Source organism: Homo sapiens, chromosome 3, assembly GCF_000001405.40.
Source record: "Homo sapiens chromosome 3, GRCh38.p14 Primary Assembly".
Taxonomy (NCBI): domain Eukaryota; kingdom Metazoa; phylum Chordata; class Mammalia; order Primates; family Hominidae; genus Homo; species Homo sapiens.
In genome coordinates, this window is record NC_000003.12 from 180,573,465 (window position 1) to 180,595,019 (window position 21,555).

The window sequence follows — 21,555 nt, forward strand, 5'->3', positions numbered from 1 at the left end:
ACCTCTTCCCTGGGTGTCTCCATCTTGCCAATCTGCCCTGCAGACTTTGGACTTGCCAGCCCCCACAATCATGTGAGCCAATTCCTTAAAATAAACCTCTCTCTATACACACACACACACACACACACACACACACACACACACACACACACACACCCTATTGGTTCTGTTTCTCTGGAAAACTCTAATACAGAAAGCTTTTAAAGTTGGGGACTGGTAGTGTTGCAAAAAGGGAGTCTTTTAAAGTGTTATAATCCAGGCCAGGGGTCAGTCAACTTTTTCTGTAAAGGGCCAGATAGTAAATATTTAAGGCTCTGCACATCATAAGATCTTTGTAGCAACTACAAAGCTCTGCTATTGTAGCACAAATGGGTATGGCTGGGTTACAATAAACTTTTACTTATGGACACTGAAATTTGAATTTCATATAAGTTTCACATGTCACAAAAAAGCTTTCTTTTTATTTATTTTTTGAAGTTTTAAAACGTAAGAATTATTCTTATCTCACAAGCCATAAAATAACAGTCCACGGGCCACAACTTGCTCTCCCTGGTCTAAGGTGACAACTCTTAAACTATAATCTTTGGCTTCCTGAGAGCTGCAAGGTTCCCTGTGGTAGGATCTGATTCAAAATTGTGAGTTCTTTCTTTGGTGGTGAAGGATTGAATAAATGAGACAAGTGCTATATACTTATTTTTATGTACTATAAACTACTTATTAGTAATCTAATAATGCTTAATAAAACTAAATGGTTTATTAAGCATTACTTAAATTTGGCTATAAAAACTAAAACCAACTTAATGCTAGAATTTTTCTCCACCTCTGAACCTGTTTAGCTTTAACAATACAAAGATTACATGTTATATTCCCTAAATTACTTCACAGACATTATATACCATCATAACCATAACATACTATACTTTTATTCCACATCACTTACCATAGTTGTAATTAATTAAATTGTTTAAAGTCTGTTGCTCTCAGTAGACTCTACACTTCATAAGGTCAGTAACCATGTCTTTTTTTTCACCAACATGAACCCAGCCCATAGTATGTCTTGTACATTATGCAAATATATATATATATGTCTATGTGCATATATATACATATACATGTCCATACTTGTGGGCAAAAAGAATGAGTGAATGAATTGCTTCTGGTGTTAACTGCTGCAATTCTTACTTTTTAATTATATAGAAGTTATTATATAGAAGTTTTCACGGCCAGGCACTGTGGCTCACGCCGGTAATCCCAGCACTTTGGGAGGCCGAGGTGGGTGGATCATTTGAGGTCAGGAGTTCAAGAATGGCCTGGCCAACATGGTGAAACCCTGGCTCTACTAAAAATACAAAATTAGCCGGGCGTGGTGGCAGGCGCCTCTAGTCTCAGCTACTTGGGAGGCTGAGGCAGGAGAATCACTTGAGCCCGAGAGGTGGAGGTTGCAGTGAGCCAAGATCACACCACTGCACTCCAGCCTGGGGCACAGAGCAAGACTCTCTCTCAAAAACAAACAAAAATAATTTAAAAATAAAAAAAAAGTTTTCACTTAGGTTCAACATGATCAATCCAGTTTATTGGTGATTACTTGATTACCCTATTGTTTATAATGATGAATGTTTGTACCAGTAGTATTTGGGGTCTATAATTCTGCACTGGTCTTTAAGAAAAGTACGAAATGTGTTTCTGAGTTATTCATATTTCCATTGTTAAAACAGCCATATAAAATTTACTCCTGGGATGTGGGAGGAGTAGTAGCAGTTAACAGAGATCTTTATTGTTACCTCCAACTTCTTATTCCACTGGAAAATAGGCAAAAGTTTGACAGCATTGTATTTGCAAGAAATGTTAATGACAGAGGCATATCTCACTTAGTTGAAACCCTTTGATTCAGGGGTCCATGGACGTTTGGTTTTTATAAATTGTTTCTTCTTTACCACAAGGCTACACATTTGGAACACTTCTGCTAAGCCTCACCTCAGCTCCACTTAAGGTGATAGAACTTGTGCTAGCTGTTTCCAAAGCAAAATGTGAGAAGACAGGAGTCCCAAGATAATACTTCCAAATCATTAGGTCTCTGTGTGTTTTGTTTTTACAGACATGCATGTACAAACAGGAGCTGCAGGGGTAATGGTGCAGATCTTCGTGTCTTAAAATCTGGGCCTACTGTGAGATAGGAGAAAGGCTTCCGTGGAAAACGTCAGGACCACTGATCTGTACTCAACAGCTCCAGATACAGATTTGATCTAATTAACCTCAGTATTTCTATCACTTAATCAAGAAAGATCCAATTCCAGCAACTCTAATTTTAAACTGTTTCACTAAGGGCAGCATTAAGGTAATTTAGGTAAAAACAAAATTTAAACAAAACAAGGAAAGGGAATGTTAATTACTTCAGGGAAATGTATTAACCTCCCTGTTCATTGAATGTTCAATGGTTATTTGTTGTAATTGCTCTTTAGTGACTACTTATTGTGCACATTAGGCAAGCTGCTCTTTAGAATTGCTGATTTGGAGATAAGAGGAAAACTGCAAAACTACCAACAAGTTCACCAGGCATAAAGATTCCTGAAACCCTTTATGTTCTTTAGGCTTTTAGCAACTTCTGCACCAAGTTATCAATGAATCTAATGACCCAGTTCTGCCAAACCCCAATCTGCTACTCTGATATGTATTCAGAATTTAATCTGCAAGTTTTGCATAGGTTGGCCCAATTTGCAAAGTTCAAAGAGGTGGCTAAAATTGTTCCTGAGTCTGTAACAACTCTTCGAAAAGAGATAATCTTGTCAAGCTGTGATGTCTAGTTATCGCAAGAAAAAACTTAAGGAAAGGAAGCTTGTGTGTGTGTGTGTGTGTGTGTGTGTGTGTGTTATAAGTGTGCAAGTGTTTGGAAAAGGAAGTGCTGCTTGAATTAAAACTGTTTTTGTATTTTCCTTATTTTAGAGGAAGAACATTCTAGTATGTCCCTTCCATCCCCCACACACCCACCCCCCACACACACACAAAAAAAGCCTGCTCAAGTCTTGCCTTCTGTCTTTAGCCTAGCTTCTACAACATAACATCTCTCAGAGAAGCTTTCCGCCTCTCCACTGATCCAGAGCCTATCTGTTTTTTCAATTCCAGATCAAGCCCTCCCCCATCCAACTTCTTCCTGAGTTGCCTTCCAAATGTATCAGTCTATATCAATTCCCCTTTTCTCTAAAGCAACATTGTCTCTGTCTCTCATATATCTTATTTCTTGGTTGTTTGCTTTTACTGAGCTGTTTCACTTCTCCACTTCTCCACCTCCCCATAATCAAGAGTATAAACTCCAGGAAGACTAGGACAGTGCTTCATTTCCTTTCAAACTAAGGAGAGAAGTGTTATAGGAGCTATTCATAGGGTCTTGTAAGTACACTAACAGAAATGGGGGAGTCAGGAAAACCTCCATGGGAGACACCCCAAAGCGACATTCTCTCATACCTAGCTAGGCCTCTCTGTTCAACCCAACGTTCTAGCAAAGGCTCTGGCTCTTTTTGTCTTCTTTCTGCCTATACTTACCTCTTTTTTTGAAAGCAGATTCCCCTAATACTCAATCATTTTGCTTTTGCATCATTGATGAAACTTCCTTCCTTTCTTTCTTGCAAGAGCAGAAAGAACTGAGCTAAAAACAAGTCTGCTGTAGGTTTAATGATCTCTGCTGTATTTTTATTTTTCTCTTATATGTCTATATTATATATGCTGTGGTACTATTGCATATGGATTGGTTCCAGGTCACTGGTTGGCAAACCTAAACTCCAATTTTCAAATGGTATTTTACTTGCAGACTTCACCATCTGTTGAGCAAGTATGTTATTTGTGTCAGAACAGATAAATAAATAATAACACAGCAGACCTACCACCTAGGGGTTTGTGTGTTCTGCAAGCAAGCGGTAGCATTATACCTACTTTATGAGTAGGTGGCTGAGGATGTAGAAATTTTGTGTATCTAAAAAGCATAGAAATGACCTTTTAGGGTTTTTTTTTTTCTAAATTAGAAAAGGGGCTTTCTCACTCGAATAGTACACATCAATGTTCACAGCAGCATTATTCACAATAGTGAAAGATGGATGCAACCCAAGTGTCCATCAATAGATGGATAAACAAAATATTGTGCATACATACGATATATTATTAGCCTTAAAAAAGAAGGAAATTCCAACACACACAACCTAGATGAACCTTGAAGATATTTTGTGAAGTGAAAATAAGTCAGCAACAAAAGGACAAATACTGTATGATTTCATTTATATGAGGTACCTAACGTTGTCAAATTCATTGAGACAGAAAGTAGACTGGTGGTTGCCAGGGGCTGGGAAAAGGGAGGAATGGGGAGTTAGTGTTTAATGGGTCTAGGGTTTCAGTTGGAGGAGATGAAAAAGTTCTGCAAATGATGGTTGCACAGCCATGTCAATATACTTAAGGCCGTAAACTGTACACTTAAAATGGTTAAAATGGTAAATTTTGTTATGCACATTTTAACACAATAAAAAGGGGGCCTTTCTTGATCAATGTCAGTAATACTTTTTTTCCTCAAAAATAATGGAAAAATGAATGAGCAAGTAAACGTGGGATCCTGCCCATCTCTTCACTTGGCTCATCCTAGCCTCGCTGTTTCACTGATTGGTTATATAAATAATTTCTACTTCAGGTATTTAATAAAAACAATAAGTAAGCCATCTAGGAAATGGATTTCAACACCATTTTAATACTTTAAACTTTTCTTTAAATTGGTGTTGGGAACAAGCCCCCAAAATCTGGCCATAAACTGGCCCCAAAACTGGCCATAAAATCTGTGCAGCACTGTGACATGTTCTTGATGGCCATAACGCCCACGCTGGAAGGTTGTGGGTTTACTGGAATGACGGCAAGGAACACCTGGCCTGCCCAGGGCCGAAAACCACTTAAAGGCATTCTTGAGCCACAAACAATAGCATGAGCGATCTGTGCCTTAAGAACATGCTCCTGCTGCAGTTAACTAGCCCAACCTATTCCTTTATTTCGGCCTATCTCTTTGTTTCCCATAAGGGATACTTCTAGTTAATCCCATTTCCCATAAGGGATACTTTTAGTTAGCAGAATATCTATAGAAACAATGCTTGTAAATTTCTTTGACCAGCATGGCACATGTATACATATGTAACTAACCTGCACATTGTGCACATGTACCCTCAAACTTAAAGTATAATAAAAAAAAAAAAGAAACAATGCTAATGACTGGCTTGCTGTTAATAAATACATGGGTAAATCTCTGTTGGGGGCTCTCAGCTCTGAAGGCTGTGAGACCCCTGATTTCCCACTTCACACCTCTATATTTCTGTGTGTGTGTCTTTAATTCCTCTAGTGCCACTGGGTTAGGGTCTCCCTGATCGAGCTGGTCTCGACAAATTGGCATCACCTTCACATACCAAGTAGGCTTCTACTTTGTTCCTAAATATTTCCCACACCATTTGTCATCTGAAATTCCATGTGCAGGGACATAAAACTTGTGTTCCAAAATGAAAAACAGGAAATAATATGCACACAATAACTTAGGAATGAGAAGAAATTTTCTCAAATTCACTATACCTGTGTTGTTCACAGTATGATCTTGCAGCATACTGCATCACAATAACTACAGAGAATCTAGTAAAAATCCTATCCCAGGCCTACTTAATTGGCATCTGTAGAACTAGGGACTTGTAACCTGCATTTTAAATTAGCTCCTCCAGTTACACTTATGCACACTAAAGTTTGAGAGTCAGTAAACTAAAACATAAGTGAATGATACAAGTATAAGGAATATTTCTCTTTAAAAATGCATGAAAAGATGAAAAACCATAAGAGTAATGGGAGTCTGATTGAAGGGCAGAAACATGACACTGGGTACATCAAAATAAAAATAACACATCCTTGCTCAAGCCCAGCTTTGTACTCACTGATTCTTTAACTAAGATAAATTACATCAGAATGATGTCACAGACTTACACAACAAAGAAGCAAAAGTTTTTATTGGGAGATACACTAAAAGTAACAATCTATCTTAAGTGTTTTTGGAGAACTTGAAGGACCCGCGTACTGTGTCATGCGTCTCTAGTGTGTCATAGTAGGAACAAAAAAAGGCACACAGTCTCTTCGCATTGTCATCTCTGACCAGCCTGCCCAAACTCAAATAGAACTTTGTATTATATAGTGTTTTTATTTCATTTGAATTGCCTAAGTAACTTCTACCTAGGGCTACCCAAAGACCCTTACACTTTGCTTCTTTGCAGTTTTCTGTCTCATATCTTTGAGAATTATAGAGTGTCTTGTGGCCATATCATATGAAAGGTGTCAAACAATTAAAGAACGCATGGAGTGGCTTTTGTCTCTTCAGGAACCACTTTTCCATTAAAAAAAAATAAGAGAGAGAAAGACAGAAAGAGAGAGAAAGAAAGAAAGGAAGGAAGGAAGGAAGGAAGAAAGGAGGGAAGAGAGCTCAAAAGCCAAAGCAACAAAATAGGTAAAAATATTGTCAGTGCTGCAAAAGCCCCAGTGTTCACACAGCCTTTCTGACAATCTCAATATGTATCCTACAATAAGAATTTCAGAACAGTATGACTGCAATATGTTTCAAAGTCAATGTGGTTTGCATGATAAGGCTCATTTCTCTTCAACTCTTCTAATGTACATAGTGTGCTTTCATGCTGGTTTTTTTTTTCCTGCCTATATGTCTACATTTAACTCTTTACCTCCAAATAAAGAATTTCATCTCTGACCATGACTATATAAGAACAGCTCTTTTTTTAATCACTAGTTTCATTTGTGTTCTGTCAGCAACTTCAAAATGTACTGTGAATAAATCACTTTGGAGCATTTATCTAAGGAACTGCCATTCTCACTCCCCACCCCATACCTTGTGTTTCATATCCATGTCATACTCCCAGATACTCTGGGTTCAGAAAGCAGCAGCTGACTGTGTAGCATGTGAGGACACCTATCCATGGGACCAGAGAAAGGGAATGGATACAGGGACATTGGGAGGGAAGAGTCTTTAGGTTTTCATGACTGGAGGAATGGGAGAGGCTAGGGAGAAAGGAAAGAGTTCAACTTAAATCAGAGATTTCAAGCTGGGTGATAAAGAGAATCATGATACCACCAGCAGAGACAGAAAAGAAAAAAACTGGTTTTGAGAGCAAGATGATGCATTTCATTTTAGATATAGAATTTTCAAACTGATGACAGGATGTCCGAATAGAAACATCTGGCAGAAAACTGCAGATGCAATACTGCAGCTAAAAAGAAGGGTTGAGGCTGGAGATGGTAATGTGATCATTTTCATTTATGTAATGGTTATGTCATTACAATAGATGAAATAGCTGAAGAGGAGGGAAGGGAGACAAAGCAGAGCATGTGGCTAGATCTTTAAGGTATGAAGAAGAAGAGAAGCCAGTGAAAGAAAGAGGGAGGGATAAGGTAATCAGAGAAATTGGATAGGAACTGTAGTAGCTCAGAGTTACAGAAGTCAAAGGAGGAAGATAATCAAGAAAGTAGAGATTCAGTTGCATGAAGCAGTAGGAAAAAAAGACCAATGAAAATGAGGATCACAAAAACATTAGGTGCTTGCTTCATCAGCACATACACTTAAATTTGAATGATACAGAGGAGATTAGCATGGTCTCTGTGCAAGGACGACATGCAAATTCATGAAGTGTTCCATATTCATTAGGAGGCTATTGGTATGTTTTAGTAGAGCCAGATTTTAGGGTAATGAGGGAATGGGAAGATGGGTTATGACACCACCAGCAGAAATAGAAAAGAGAAGAACTGGTTTTGAGAGCAAAATAATACATTTCATTTTAGACATGGAATTTTCAGACTGATGACAGGATATCCAAATAGAAACTGGCCAATAGAAATATAACGTGAACACATATGTAATTTAAAATTTTCTATTAGCCACGTTATTGTCTTTTTAAATCACTCTTCCCTTTAAAATCCTTCCACAGCTCTCCATTTATCCAGAATAAATCTAAACTCTTTAGTATACAAAGTCCTTCTAGGATAGTCTCTTATGCTTCCTCTAGCCCAGCCCCAGCCTGCATGATGACACAGCCATATTGGGATTCTGCAGTGCCTTACATGTGCCATGCTGTCTCACATCTCTGTCTTCTTTCTCCTCTACCTGTAGTTCCCTGTTCCCCTGACCCCTGCCCCAGTATACCTTTCTATTCCTACTAATCCCTCAAGACTCAGCTTGTGTCACCTCCTCCATGAAGCCTCCTCTAAATGCCAAACTCATTCTTCATTTTAACACCCTGCATATCTTTCTTACAGCATTAATCACTCAGCACTGTGGTTTCTGGATGCAACCAAGATATCCTTCAATAAGTGAATGGATAAACATACTGTGGTACATCATACAATATACTATTATTCAGTGATTTTTAAAAAGATAAATAAGATATCAAGCCACAAAAGACATGGGGGAAACTTAACTGTATATTGCTAAGTGAAAGGCAGTCTAAAAAAGCTACATACTATTTGATTCCAACTATATGACATCCTGGGAAAGGTAAAACTATGAGGACAGGAAAAAGATTAGTGGTTTCCAGGCTTAGGGGAGGAATGGAGGGATGGTGGAACATAGGAGATTTGGGGGGTGATAAAACTATTTTGTATGATACTGTAATGGTGAACACATGATATACATTTCTCAAAACTCAAGACTTTGTAAAAGTGAATCCTAATGCAAGCCACAGACTTTTGCTAATAATAATGTGTCAATATTGGTTCATCAAGTGTAATCTAATTTAAGAGAGGTGAACTATTAACACAAGGCAGTATAAGAAGCCATAACATTTCAGAGGGCTGGATTACTAGAGGGCTTGTGTTAATAGTTCATTTCTCTTAGATTAGATTACACTGTCCTTAAGAGCAGGAATCATATTTCTTTGTACTTTTGAATCAACAAAGGTGCCTGGCAGAATTCTACACTATAGGAATTATCTATCTATCTATCTATTCACTGACTTATGACTGAGAAGAAAAAAAAACCCTACCATGTTTGTATTTGTCAAGTTTGAGCTTTTCCTTTATTTGGAAGGTGAAAATATGCTACTTATCACCACCTTTTGACTTTCATAAACTGAATCCCTAATTCCTATTACAGAACTCTTATGTAATGTTAATTATAACATTAATATTCTTATCTATTTTATCTATTATATTTCCCTGAAGACTGGCACGTATTTTTTAAGCTTGCTGTTGAAATGGATTGAAAGGAAGTATGCTACACATATGACAGGATACGCCTATCAACTTTATGGCTTAAATTTTTTTTTCTTAGGTTGGGGCAATCCAAATATTTTGTTTGATTAGCAACATTAGTAGATATTGTGGTTCAGAAGAATATGGCAATCATATATTTATTACTAGTTTGAACTGTTGTCCAATATAAAATACTGCTACTATAAGTGAAGAGCCAGGGAAAGGCAGATGAGATGAGAAAGTGTCTTGACTAATTTAGTATTCTCCATTCAAAGCAGAAATAACATTTTGCTTCATGTTGACGATTTAATATACTCCACAGCCTCAAGCTAATATTGAATAGACACTGCTATTAATCCATTACATATGTTCAATGTAGTTAATCTTTTAAATATTGTATCACTAAAAAAGCTCATCAGGGCTCATGAATTCAGACTAATTGAAGAAAAGCCTAACATGGTAAAAAGTTAGAGTGATAAATCATCTTAAATTAATCTTAACACCTAAAATATACAGAGTAATTACATGATACCTAGTTGACTTCTTCAGAACTTGCTTCAGTGAAAAAATTTGAAATTAGCATACTTGTTGCTGTGTCCTTCTGAACTATATAAAGACCTAAGGAAAGTTCGTTCTTATAAATCATGAGATGTAAATTCACTGAGTGTAGATTTCAGTGTGCATCTTAAAATTATTTCCTTTATTCATTTATTCACAAAAAATTCAAGCAGTCCTCTTTTTAAGACCTGGAGAAGTGAAAATATAAATTTATAAGAGCATAGTGATGCTTACCTAGAGATACTATGGCAGGGTTCCACCGTGGTTGCACTAAAAGGTAGTTTCTGTGAGTGGTAGACTAGAAAATAATCCAAAATCTTAGAGTAAGTCCCCACTCATGTAGATGCCAACAGCCTTCAGTTCCCTTCACCACCGACTTCCTAAAATTCCATGTATTGCAAAAATTCTAAAATCTTATCATGATACTAAATTGGGCATTCACTATCAAGCAACAAATTGTTCAAATGGCTAATCTGATTTTGTCTTTTAAAATTACTGCATTTTCCACTTATTTTGAATACCAAAATGAAAGGAGTATGTATCACTCTGGCTCCTGGCAGAAAGAGACGGCTCACTCAAACTGTATAATTGAGAAGAATTTAATAGAGGCGCTATTTACAGAAATATGGGAAGGGCTAAGGGAAACCTGTTAGGGATAATGTTTTATTCCAGAGCTTGCAATTGTGAGAAGGTATAACACCCCTGGATCTGATGTGTACAGGGAGAAGATGGCTACTCAAACCTGGAGAGGAAAGGGAACTTGACAGGATCAATAGCCTTTAAAAGAAGAACCATTCAACCTTTTGTGATCTAGCAGGGAGAGCCCCTAGAGTATATATGTTCTGACCTCCCTCTCTAGGGAGATTGCCACTGGCTGAACACAATCAGAAGCCAGAGGGCAAATGTGTTGTTTGATACAATCCTTACAGGTAAGTCCCCAGGCACAGAGAAGGTTGGAAAAAAAAATAGAGAGTGAATCTGGAGAGCAAGTGTGAAATACTCAAGGTAGTAGGACTCTTGCTGCAGGTAACAGAAAATATAATCAAGCTAATCCAAGCAAACAAGGGAATTCATTAACTTACGTATCTTAAAAGTATAGGAGTAGCTCTATCTTCATGCCCAGCTCAGCTTGATCCGACATCTCAAAGGACGTCACTGGGATTCAGTATCTTTCCATCTCTCAGCTCTGTTCTCCTCCATGCAGACTTCACTCAAAGCCTCTATGTGGTGGCAAGATATCTGATAGTAATTTCAGCTTGATATTCAGAAGTTAGCCAGGTGTGGTGGCGCAGGCCTGTAGTCCCAGCTACTCAGGAGGGTGAGGCAGGAGAATCGCTTGAACTCGGGAGGTGGAGGTTGCAGTGAGCCAAGATCGTGCCACTGCACTCAAGCCTGGGCAACAGAGCAAGACTCTGTCAAAAAAAAAAAAAACAAAAACAAAAACCAACAACAACAAAAAAACCAAAAAAATTTAAGTATCCCTAAATTAGATAGCATTTTATAATAAAATCTTGTATAAATTTAAGTTCACGTCCCAAAGAAATTATAGTATGATGAGGTAACAATGGTAGAGCTGCTGTATTTTAACCAGGTATACTACTACATGAACTTGCAACCCACAGTGAATTTTTCCAAGTGAGTGGCAAGGAACTATTAGAACTGAGCTTAGATGTGTATTTTCCTTAAATCGTCCTGATGTTTAGAGAAGAAAAGCTTTAACCAAGTAGACATAGTATTCCGTTCTCTCAGATCACACTGATAGGGTAGATGGAGATTTTTATTGCAGCTGTGTATGTGCAGATAAGACAAAGTGAAGTATGCAAGTATTTAATCATCACATCTTTAAAATGATACAGAAGATCATTTCTTTTTAGCTGTCTATGATGCTTTTTTTACCTTTCCTTTCAATAAGATAGCTACATATTACTTTGTAAATTGCTTTCCTACACAAAGTGCATTAGCTTCACACGAATTCGTTGGCTGGTTTCATACTTCTCTACAGAAATAAGTACATTTCTAAACTTATTCACTAATGAATCTAAAGCTACATGTTTAGAAAAGCAATTGGGGAGCAGGATATCATTTTATTTCAGCCTGTTTAACAAGAAACAAACTGAGATGTACCAAAATGAAACAAACTGAGATGTACCAAAATAAATAGTGCACTTAGCACTATTTAAGATTGCCTTCTTTTTGCCCTCTTTCTCTTCCCTAGTTGTTGCTGGGATGGGAGCCTTAACTAAATGCCACCATGCCATCCTGATAGAGGTTGTGTACTTTGAATTTTAACTGGTCTCGTTCTTAGGAGCTGGTATCTTTGGAGATCATGTCTCCCCACTGTTTTGATAATCTACTGAGATGTGGCAGCATTTTCTTCTGATCTTCCCACGTCTTCCCTAGGGGTTTCCTCATCCTGGCTGAGGAAACGAATAGGTCTCCTCCAAGTCTGTTGAGTTCCCCTTTCTCACCTATATTCTGTGCCCTTTCTTTCTTGTGGACACAGAGAAACATTCACTGCTTTTTTCCATACCTCTTGGACTCCACAGTATCCCAGGGTTGTCAGCAGGTATTCATTGTTCTAAAGCATCCCTTATGCATTTTCTGATTCATTTCTTTCAAGTCGCCACAGCATGGTAAACCTCGGCAAGCCTACTAGAGCTCCAGAGAGAAGGTGTAAGACACAGAGACTAGACCCATCAGAGGAAGACGGGGAGAAGAAATTTACCTCTACTGTCTTCCTTCCTTGTACTTGCACCAGAATTTATTCCAAGGCAGAAACCGAGAGAAAAAAACAATGCCTAAGTTATTTTTCCTTTCTTCCATCTCCATTCCTACTTTTTTTTTTTTTTTTTAAGACAGATTCTTGCTCTGTTGCCAGGCTGGAGTGCAGTGGCGTGATCTCGGCTCACTGCACCCTCCTCCTCCTAGGTTCAAGCGATTCTCCTGCCTCAGCCTCCTGAGTAGCTGGGACTACAGGCGCACGCCACCACACCCAGCTAAATTTTTGTATTTTTAGTAGAGATGGGGTTTCACCATGTTGGCCAGGATGGTCTCAATCTCTTGACTTCAAGATCCGCCAACCTCGAACTCCCAAAGTGCTGGAATTACAAGCGTGAGCCACCGCACCCAGCCTTAATTTTTATACATATTATAATAGCTCTTTAAAAGTCCAAGTCCATTAATTTTGCCTGTTTGTAGAACTGTTTCTATTAATGGATTTTTTAAACCTGGTTAGGGATCACATTTTCATGGGTTTTTTTGCATGTCTAGTAACTTTTGATATCTATATATATATTGGATATGTTGAATTGCATTGTCTATTTTGAAACTTCCTTTTCAACTTTGTTAAGAAGGGTCTAGAAGAGATTTTACTATAAGGCTAGTTTTAGCCCTTCTTCTTAGGACTAAAACCAAAAAGGGGTATGGCCTTTTGGGGATCTCTAATGAATTGCCTGAGTGTTCCACAGGGTCTTTCCACCCTACTTGTTCAGCCCTGTGAAATTCTGATACTTGTTCAGCTTATAGCTTCCCAGTAGTTGCTCTTTCCCTGGTCATTGTTCTTTGGTCTTGTGGAGTCTCACCCTATATTTGTGCAGATTAGTAAGCAAATACTCAAAAGGAACCTATGCAGATTTCTGGAGTTCTTTCCCTGCTTGGTTCTCTCCTCTTTGGTCTTCTACCCATAAATTTCAGCTGTTTGTGCCTCTCCAAACTCTAATATCTGTCTCATCATCTCAGCAAGGCTGCTATGCTCTGTCTGGGTTTCACCTCTCTGCACCTTTGCCCAATAAGTGCCTCTAACCAGAAAACTCGACAATAATAACAGTTATCTAGTTTATTTTTTTTTTCGCTCAGACAGTGAAACCCTTCATGACCTGTTGTCCGATATCTGAAAGCAGTTGTTTCATATAATTTTGTTTCCTTTCTGTGGCAGGGGATTTGTTAATGGCGGAAGGGTTAGTCTTGTACCAGTTACTCAGTCATAGTTGCAATCAGGAGTCAAGGCTTTTGATTTTCTTCATGTATACTATTATTGACAGTCCCTAAAACAATAGTTACCCTTCTATGGTAAGTGCCCAACTGAGAAAAGGATCACCATTTAATCACGCAGACCAGGAAAAAAAATCAATAATTCCTAAGTCATGCCACCATACCTTATCCCCAGTTGCCATGCGTCTGCAAACCAGATTTGTCAAATTTTATTACTACTGCAATGACTTTAATCCAGGTATGTGACGTGGTAAGATAGGGCTGGAAGACTGATTGGCAATACAGGACAAAAGATAACTTACTGGAACAGAGGAAGAAGATGGGTACAGGAGCTAGAAATGACTTCCAGAAGAAAAAAAAAGGAACTAAATACTGTTCTTTTCTAATTAAACTGAAAAGAGTTCCTTAGGGAGCTGGTATTTGATCACTTCATGGTCTCTGGGAAAATAAAACATAGTGTGTGGAAAAGAGTAAATGGATGCTAAAGTGAGGAAGATCTAAAAGAATTTTCATCCCTCCCTCCAAGACCTAAGATGTGACATGGTAGGGCTAGCCTTAGAGAGGAAGCATGTCATATGCCCCAAGTGAACATGAGTCTTGCATGGATCTTAGAGAAACTGAAATGAACACCTATGATAGAGTTTTAGGAAAACTGAAAGCTGCATACAACCTAAATGGACAAGTATGCCAAAAATATCACATATGAGTTCTCAGAACAGATAAGGCATCAATGTTTGAAAAAGACAAACAGTTTTGTAAAAGACAGACTTCCAAGAAAAATCTCAGCAGCAATATGCTGTCAATCCACTTAGTATTATCTATATAAAACATATTTTTGTTTAATCATTTTTAATATAATCTATCATAAGAAAATCTGTATCCCAGTTCAACTCTCTTGCTTCCATGAACGCTGGGAAAAGAGTTTATGTAAACCAAGACTATTCCGTAAAACAAATATCCTAGTAAATGGTACAGAAATTTCACTGATACAGTTTGCACAACACTAGCTCCAAGGGTCCTACAGAGACTACTTTGTTATGCAATTTAGAAAATGAGTTATCTTTAATTCAGCCTGAAATAAAAGGTAATGGCAATGGCTTAGAAATATTTTAATTATACAGATATAGTCAAGGTGATGATATTTATTATTGTGAAATTATACTATTTTATTGTGAATTTTTTTCTTCCCTACATCTTTAAATCATAAAAGGGTACTAGATATTTTATTCTGTGGAGCTGATGGAAGCTATAAAAAACAGAATACTTTTCCTTTCATATCCAAGTCCATAGGTTTAGAATTAAGGAACATTTCTCAGGATGAAAGCAAAACATCAGCAATAACCACTCACACTATCTTTTTTCAACTGGGATTTTTCTATGATTTGTTCATTACTGAATTCCCAGCACCTACAGCTATTTGGAACAAGGAGATAGTCAAATAAACGTTAGGTGAATTTCTGAGTTACAATTCTCATATTGATGCTTGTCACTACGATTCCAATGAAAATGGATACAATAAATTCTGGATTATTGGCTAATAAAAAGTCTCAGGAAAAAAATAATAAAAACATAGCCAAACAACTTTCCTAACATAACGGTGTTTCTTTTGTTTGTTAGAAGTGAAATGTGGCCACAGAAATAGACATGAAATGGGTAACAGCAAAAATCTAGGCTGCCACAATTAGGAATGATCTTCGATAGCTCAGAAAAGGAAGTCACCTGGAGTCAATGACCCATGCAAAATCAGTCATCGCATGACCCCAAATTTTTTACTCAGTGCTCAACACATAAATTATTTTTCAGAAACCACCATGGAGGATAAGGAATATCTTTAAGTTCTAGAACTTGAAAGTGGAAAAATAAAAAAGCATTATAAGCTTAGAAATTTTGTTGATAAAGGCCTTTAAATGAACTTAAAGCAATTTTACACCAAAAGACTATGAAATCTCTACCATTCATATTATAACTCTGATGTAAGAAATGATGATGCAACTCAGATATTGGCTGTGTATTAAGTGTGAAACCCAGTAGATTAAACAAGGCAGTATTTCTATACATTCCTAGTTACTTCAGCTGTTCCTCAAATCATGTGATTTCCAGCTGCTTCACCATCATGGGGTTGTAATGCTTTAAATAGGCTTCATTGTCTTAAAATATGGCATTGAAGTAGGACATAATTGCAATGGTTAATTATATGTCAACTTGGCTGGGCCACGGTGCCCAGATATGTAGTCACACATTATTCTAAATGTTCTGTGAGGGTGTTTAGGGGGTGAGATTAACAATTAAATTGATGAACTTTGAGTAAAGCACATTGCCCTCCATCATCTGGGTAAGGCCTCATCCAGCTAGCTGAAGACCTGAATAGAACAAAAGATTGACCTCCACCAAGAAAGAGGGCCATCTACCAGCAGATAGCCTTCAGACTTAAACTGCAGCATTAGCTTTTCCTTGGTCTCCAGCTTGCCAACCTACTCTGTATGTTTTGATTTGTCAGCCTCCTAAATCACGAGCCAATTCCTTAAAATAAATTTCCTTCTAAATATACATATACCCATCGTATTGGTTCTGTTTCCCTGAAGAACCATAATACAAGAAGTATGCAGATATTTGTCCCATAAGCATGGACTACCACAGAGAGACTATTCCTAGTCACAGATACCAATTTTCCCCACTGGGTCACCACCACCAGGATGTGACTGCTGAAGGCCGTGCACACCACCTGGGTGGGGACCCCACACACCACCTCTGTCTTCTGTTTTGATATCACCAACGGCGTGTCTTCCATGGTGGGGCTCTTCAGTGGCAGCTTTAATTTAGGTTAAAAAGAAAGGGGGAAAAAAGGAGTCAAACAGTACAGCCTTGGGGCTCCCAAAAAAGTAGCACCAGGCATTGAAACAGAAACGCAAGGAGGCCCATTCAAAAGAGGCCAGGCGCAGTGGCTCATGCCTGTCATCCCAGCACTTCAGGAGGCTGATACAGGACAATCGCTTGAGGCCGGGAGTTTGAGACCAGCCTGGCCAACATAGCAAGACACCCCCCATCTCTACCAAAAAAAATACAAAAAAAATTAAAAATCAGCCAGGTGCACCTGTGGTCCCAGTTACTCAGGAGGCTGAGGGGGGAGGATCACTTCAGCCCGGGAGGTCGAGGCTGCAGTGAGCTGTGATTACACCACTGCACTCCAGCCCGGGTGGCAGAGCGAGACCCTGTCCCGAAAAAATAAAACAGGAGCAGGGCCGCCCGTACAGACCACACCTGGGGCTTTCTGGGTTAGGGGATCGACTTGCACGTTCACACTGCCAGGCTGGGCGGTGACTTCCTGCCCCTCGGCCTCACCGGTGCCCCGGCCCTGCAGCGGAGGGCCTAGGACCCCCACAGCACGCGGTGCCAAGGCTACGTGGGCTACGGAGGACGCAGTGGTCTGGGGAGGCCCGCGGGTACCCCCGCTTACCAAGCCAGCCGGCATCAGATTCTTATAGGAGTGAATACCCTACTGTGAACTGCACAGGCAAGGGATCTAGGTTGCATGCTCCTTATGAGAATCTAATGCCTGATAATCTGTCACTGTCTCCCATCATCCCCAGAGGGGACCATCTAGCTGCAGGAAAATAAGCTCAGGGCTCCTACTGATTCCACATTATGGTGAGTTGTATAATTATTTCACTGTATATTACAATGTAATAGTAATAGAAAAAAGAGCACAATAAATGTAATGCACTTGAATCATCCCAAAACCATCCCCACTGCCCCAGTCCATGGAAAAATTGTCTTCCATAAAATCGGTCCCTGGTGCCAAAAAGGTTAGGGATTGCTGACTTAAAGGTAACCTCTCCAGCCATCATTTGCTGTGTATGAGGGAGAGGGGGCTGGAAACAAAAAGGAAAATATATTACTTGGTTGAGTTCTCAGTATCTTCCTGTCTATTTTATATATTGGGCTTCCATCTTAAGAAAGTTAAAACAAAATTGAAAGCAGTTTTCAAACATATACACACATAGCAGCAGTCATATTCTCAATATATTTGCTATTATTCAGTTACATATTTACATATGCATACATGTATATTTTATATATTATATACGTGTGTATGTGTGTGTGTGTGTGTGTGTGTGTGTGTGTGTGTGTATAAAGAAAGAGAGATTAAAGGGAGAAAGAAAAGGATGACAGGTAAGCAGAGTTTTTTATGTCTTAGAAGAAATACACATGCAGAGGAAATGAATGCATAAGATTACATAGTTTGATGAAATTAGTCATTAAAAAATACCCAACAGGCTGTTTTTGTTCTTATTTTGGGCTCACAAACAAGCTTCTGACTGAAGTTGGCTTTCCACCGGAGAATATATTGATACTTCTACGAGTTTCTGATTCACATAACATTTACAGTTCATCCTTAATACATTGTCAACGTGATTTCTAAATCAGTGTTTAATTTGGTTAGTGTGTATCAGTATGTCGAGCTTACAGTTCACCCTTAATACATTGTCAGCGTGATTTCTAAATCAGTGTTTAATTTGGTTAGTGTGTATCAGTATGTCGAGCTTACAGTTCACCCTTAATACATTGTCAACGTGATTTCTAAATCAGTGTTTAATTTGGTTAGTGTGTATCAGTATGTCGAGCTTACAGTTCACCCTTAATACATTGTCAACGTGATTTCTAAATCAGTGTTTAATTTGGTTGGTGTGTATCAGTATGTCGAGCTTACACTTCACCCTTAATACACTGTCAACGTGATTTCTAAATCAGTGTTTAAGTTGGTTAGTGTGTATCAGTATGTCGAGCTTACAGTTCACCCTTAATACATTGTCAACGTGATTTCTAAATCAGTGTTTAATTTGGTTAGTGTGTATCAGTATGTCAAGCTTACAGTTCACCCTTAATACATTGTCAACTTGATTTCTAAATCAGTGTTTAATTTGGTTAGTGTGTATCAGTATGTCGAGCCTTACTTGAATTTCTGCACTTGAAAAACTAAGGATCAGTGTCCAGAACTCAATCTACCTGATGGAACTGCCACACTGAGACTTCCAAACAGTGATCAGCCAATCTCCCCCTGTGACTTCTGTGGCTGGTCCCTTTTCTAACTACAACTAAAGGAACTGTAAAGAATCTCATTCATTTAAAGAGACCAGCCACAGTAGGAAGCCACACTTACCAGTACTGCAATACAATAGGAAAATAACTTCATACAGATTTCATAGAAAAAGAAGCACACTGACTTAAAGAGAGACATGCAGTTTTAGCACCTGAACTGTTCATCATAGAACAATGAATGTTAAGGGTTAGATCTCAAAGTTCATCTCATCCAATCCCTTAGTTTTAAAGGTGGCAAGAGAGGCATGGAAGATTAGATTATTTACTCAAAATACAGCTGGGACTTCTGGGCTAAGCTCTTTCCACTATGATAACTCCCTATTTCATAATTGCGCACATTCTTTTTTTTTTTTTTTTTTTTTTTTTTTTTTGAGACAGAGTCTCGCTCTGGTTGCCCAGGCTGGAGTGCAACGGCGCGATCTCAACTCATCGCAATCTCTGCCTCCTGGGTTCAAGCGATTCTCCTGCCTCAGCCTCCCAAGTGGCTGGGATTACAGACATGCGCCACCACGCCTGGCTAATTTTATATTTTTAGTAGAGATGGGGTTTCTTCATGTTGGTCAGTCTGGTCTCAAACTCCTGACCTCAGGTGATCCGCCTGCTTCGGCCTCCCAAAGTGCTGGGATTACAGGCGTGAGCCACAGCGCCCGGCCCTACACTCTTAATCTTCTTGCAGCTATTGAAACTTCATATTCTTATTCTATGCAATGATAGGTAAATTTTAAAATGAAATTATGTTTGCTAAGAAATAAGAAGACATCCTACAAAACTTTCTCCCTTTTATTGTGAGCAATAGGTATTTAATCAATTCCTACCTAGATAACAGCCAAAGTGATACTTTTATAATGAAAGTCATAATGTGCCCTCCTCCTTAAAACCCTGAAGCTACTCCCAACCACTAACAGTAAAAGCCAAGTTCTTGCAATGGCCTACAAAGCCCCATACGTCCATCCTCCATGCTCACTCTGTTCCTGCCACACCGCCTTCCTTGCTATTTCTCAAATACATCAAATACCTTCCTGTCTCAGGACCCTTGCATTGGTTGTTCCCTCTGCCTGGAACTCTTTTCCCTCAAACAGGTTGAATGACTAACTCCTCATCTACTTCAAATCTTTGCTCAAATGTCACCCTCTTAATGAGATCTGCTGTAACTATTTAAAACTACCACACCCAGGCCAGGCGCGGCGGCTCACGCCTGTAATCCCAGCACTTTGGGAGGCCAAGGAGGGCGGATCATGAGATCAAGAGATTGAGACCATCCTGGCTAACACGGTGAAACCCGTCTCTACTAAAAATACAAAAAATTAGCTGGGCATGGTGGCGGGGTGCCTGTAGTCCTAGCTACTTGGGAGGCTGAGGCAGGAGAATGGCGCGAACCCAGGAGGCGGAGCTTGCAGTGAGCCGAGATTGACCCACTGCACTCCAGCCTGGAGAAAGACTCCGTCTCAAAAAAAAAAATTAAATAAATAAATAAATAAATAAATAAATAAATAATTAAAAAAACTACCACACCCACCCCCCTGTACTTCCAATGCCCCTTACCCTGACTTACTTCTTTCTGTATAGGATCTATCACCTTCTAATACATGCACTATATCATTTACTTATTTATTATATTTGTTACTCATCATATGTCTCCCTCCAGAATATAAACTCCATAGAGGCAGGGAGGTTGGTGTATTTTTTTCACTATTATATTCCTAACACCTAAAATACAGCCTAAGCCTCAAATATTTATTAAATGAATAAATTAATGCATTTGGCAACTTGACCATTATGTCTACAGATAATCAAAGGCTATGTCTAATGTGGTCCAGATCAAGGTTAAATCATTTCCCTGACATACTGGATCTTCCAATGAATTCCATTAAGAAGGGCAATATACTAAGCCACTAATATATTTCTACTCCCCAAAATTCTCCTTTAGTGCTGCTGTCAATAAAACAAAAAAGAATGTGTTTAAAAATTAGAAGATGACCAATTGCTTTCATTTTAAAGGAATGTCTAAATTGCATTTAAAAAATCGAAGCAATCCAGAATGTACTGACAAATACTATTTATTGAGCATTAAACTTTCAATTCTTTTGATGATAATCCTGACATGTTCTCCCATATAGCATTCTGAGAAATTGCTGCAAAACAAGAATCTGAGAATCTAAGAGGTGTGTGTGTGTGTATGTGTGTGTGTCTTTATGAGCAGTCATGACCAAGAACCTGATGACAAACACCTTAACCTATTCCATATCAGTATTACACACATCTTTTGACTTTTTTTCTAACAATCATGATAGATTTAATCTGAAATATCTTCATTCTATTTCCTCATCCTTTTTGTAAACAAAGACAAACATGAAAGAAATGCTAGCTGAGACTAGCACTGCAGATGGTCACTACAACTGATCAAAAGTTGCACATCTCCAGGAATACCACATACCCTGAAGATGGATTATAGTGTATCACTACTCTGGCCTCTTGTCCTGGAGTTGTGCAATATTCACCTCTGGGTCTGTTTAGAACCATGCTGAATTGAAACTGAAATCAGTAATCTTTCTTCTTAGAAAAAAATAACTCAAGATTACTAAGTTAATCAATTCTAATGAGATATGAACTGATTTAAATTAAAATAATATCCTCAAAACATTTATCAGTCACTAAAAGGTGGAGACA

The 21,555-nt window shown here is 38.5% G+C and overlaps 1 long non-coding RNA gene and 1 pseudogene across 5 annotated transcripts in view; one reads left to right on the plus strand and one right to left on the minus strand.

Annotated features, from left to right (window-relative positions):
* Positions 1 to 21,555, minus strand: part of TTC14-DT (TTC14 divergent transcript) — a 121,249-nt gene that overhangs the window by 92,600 nt on the left and 7,094 nt on the right. For 2 of the 5 annotated variants that reach the window (NR_183700.1, NR_183704.1), the window contains exon 2: positions 10,884 to 11,193. This is a non-coding gene — a long non-coding RNA (TTC14 divergent transcript). Of the gene's footprint in view, positions 1 to 10,035; positions 10,100 to 10,883; positions 11,214 to 21,555 lie in introns of all 5 variants that reach the window. The other 3 variants (NR_183701.1, NR_183703.1, NR_183702.1) reach the window with 2 other exon arrangements.
* RNU6-486P (RNA, U6 small nuclear 486, pseudogene) lies at positions 7,593 to 7,699 on the plus strand (annotated as a pseudogene).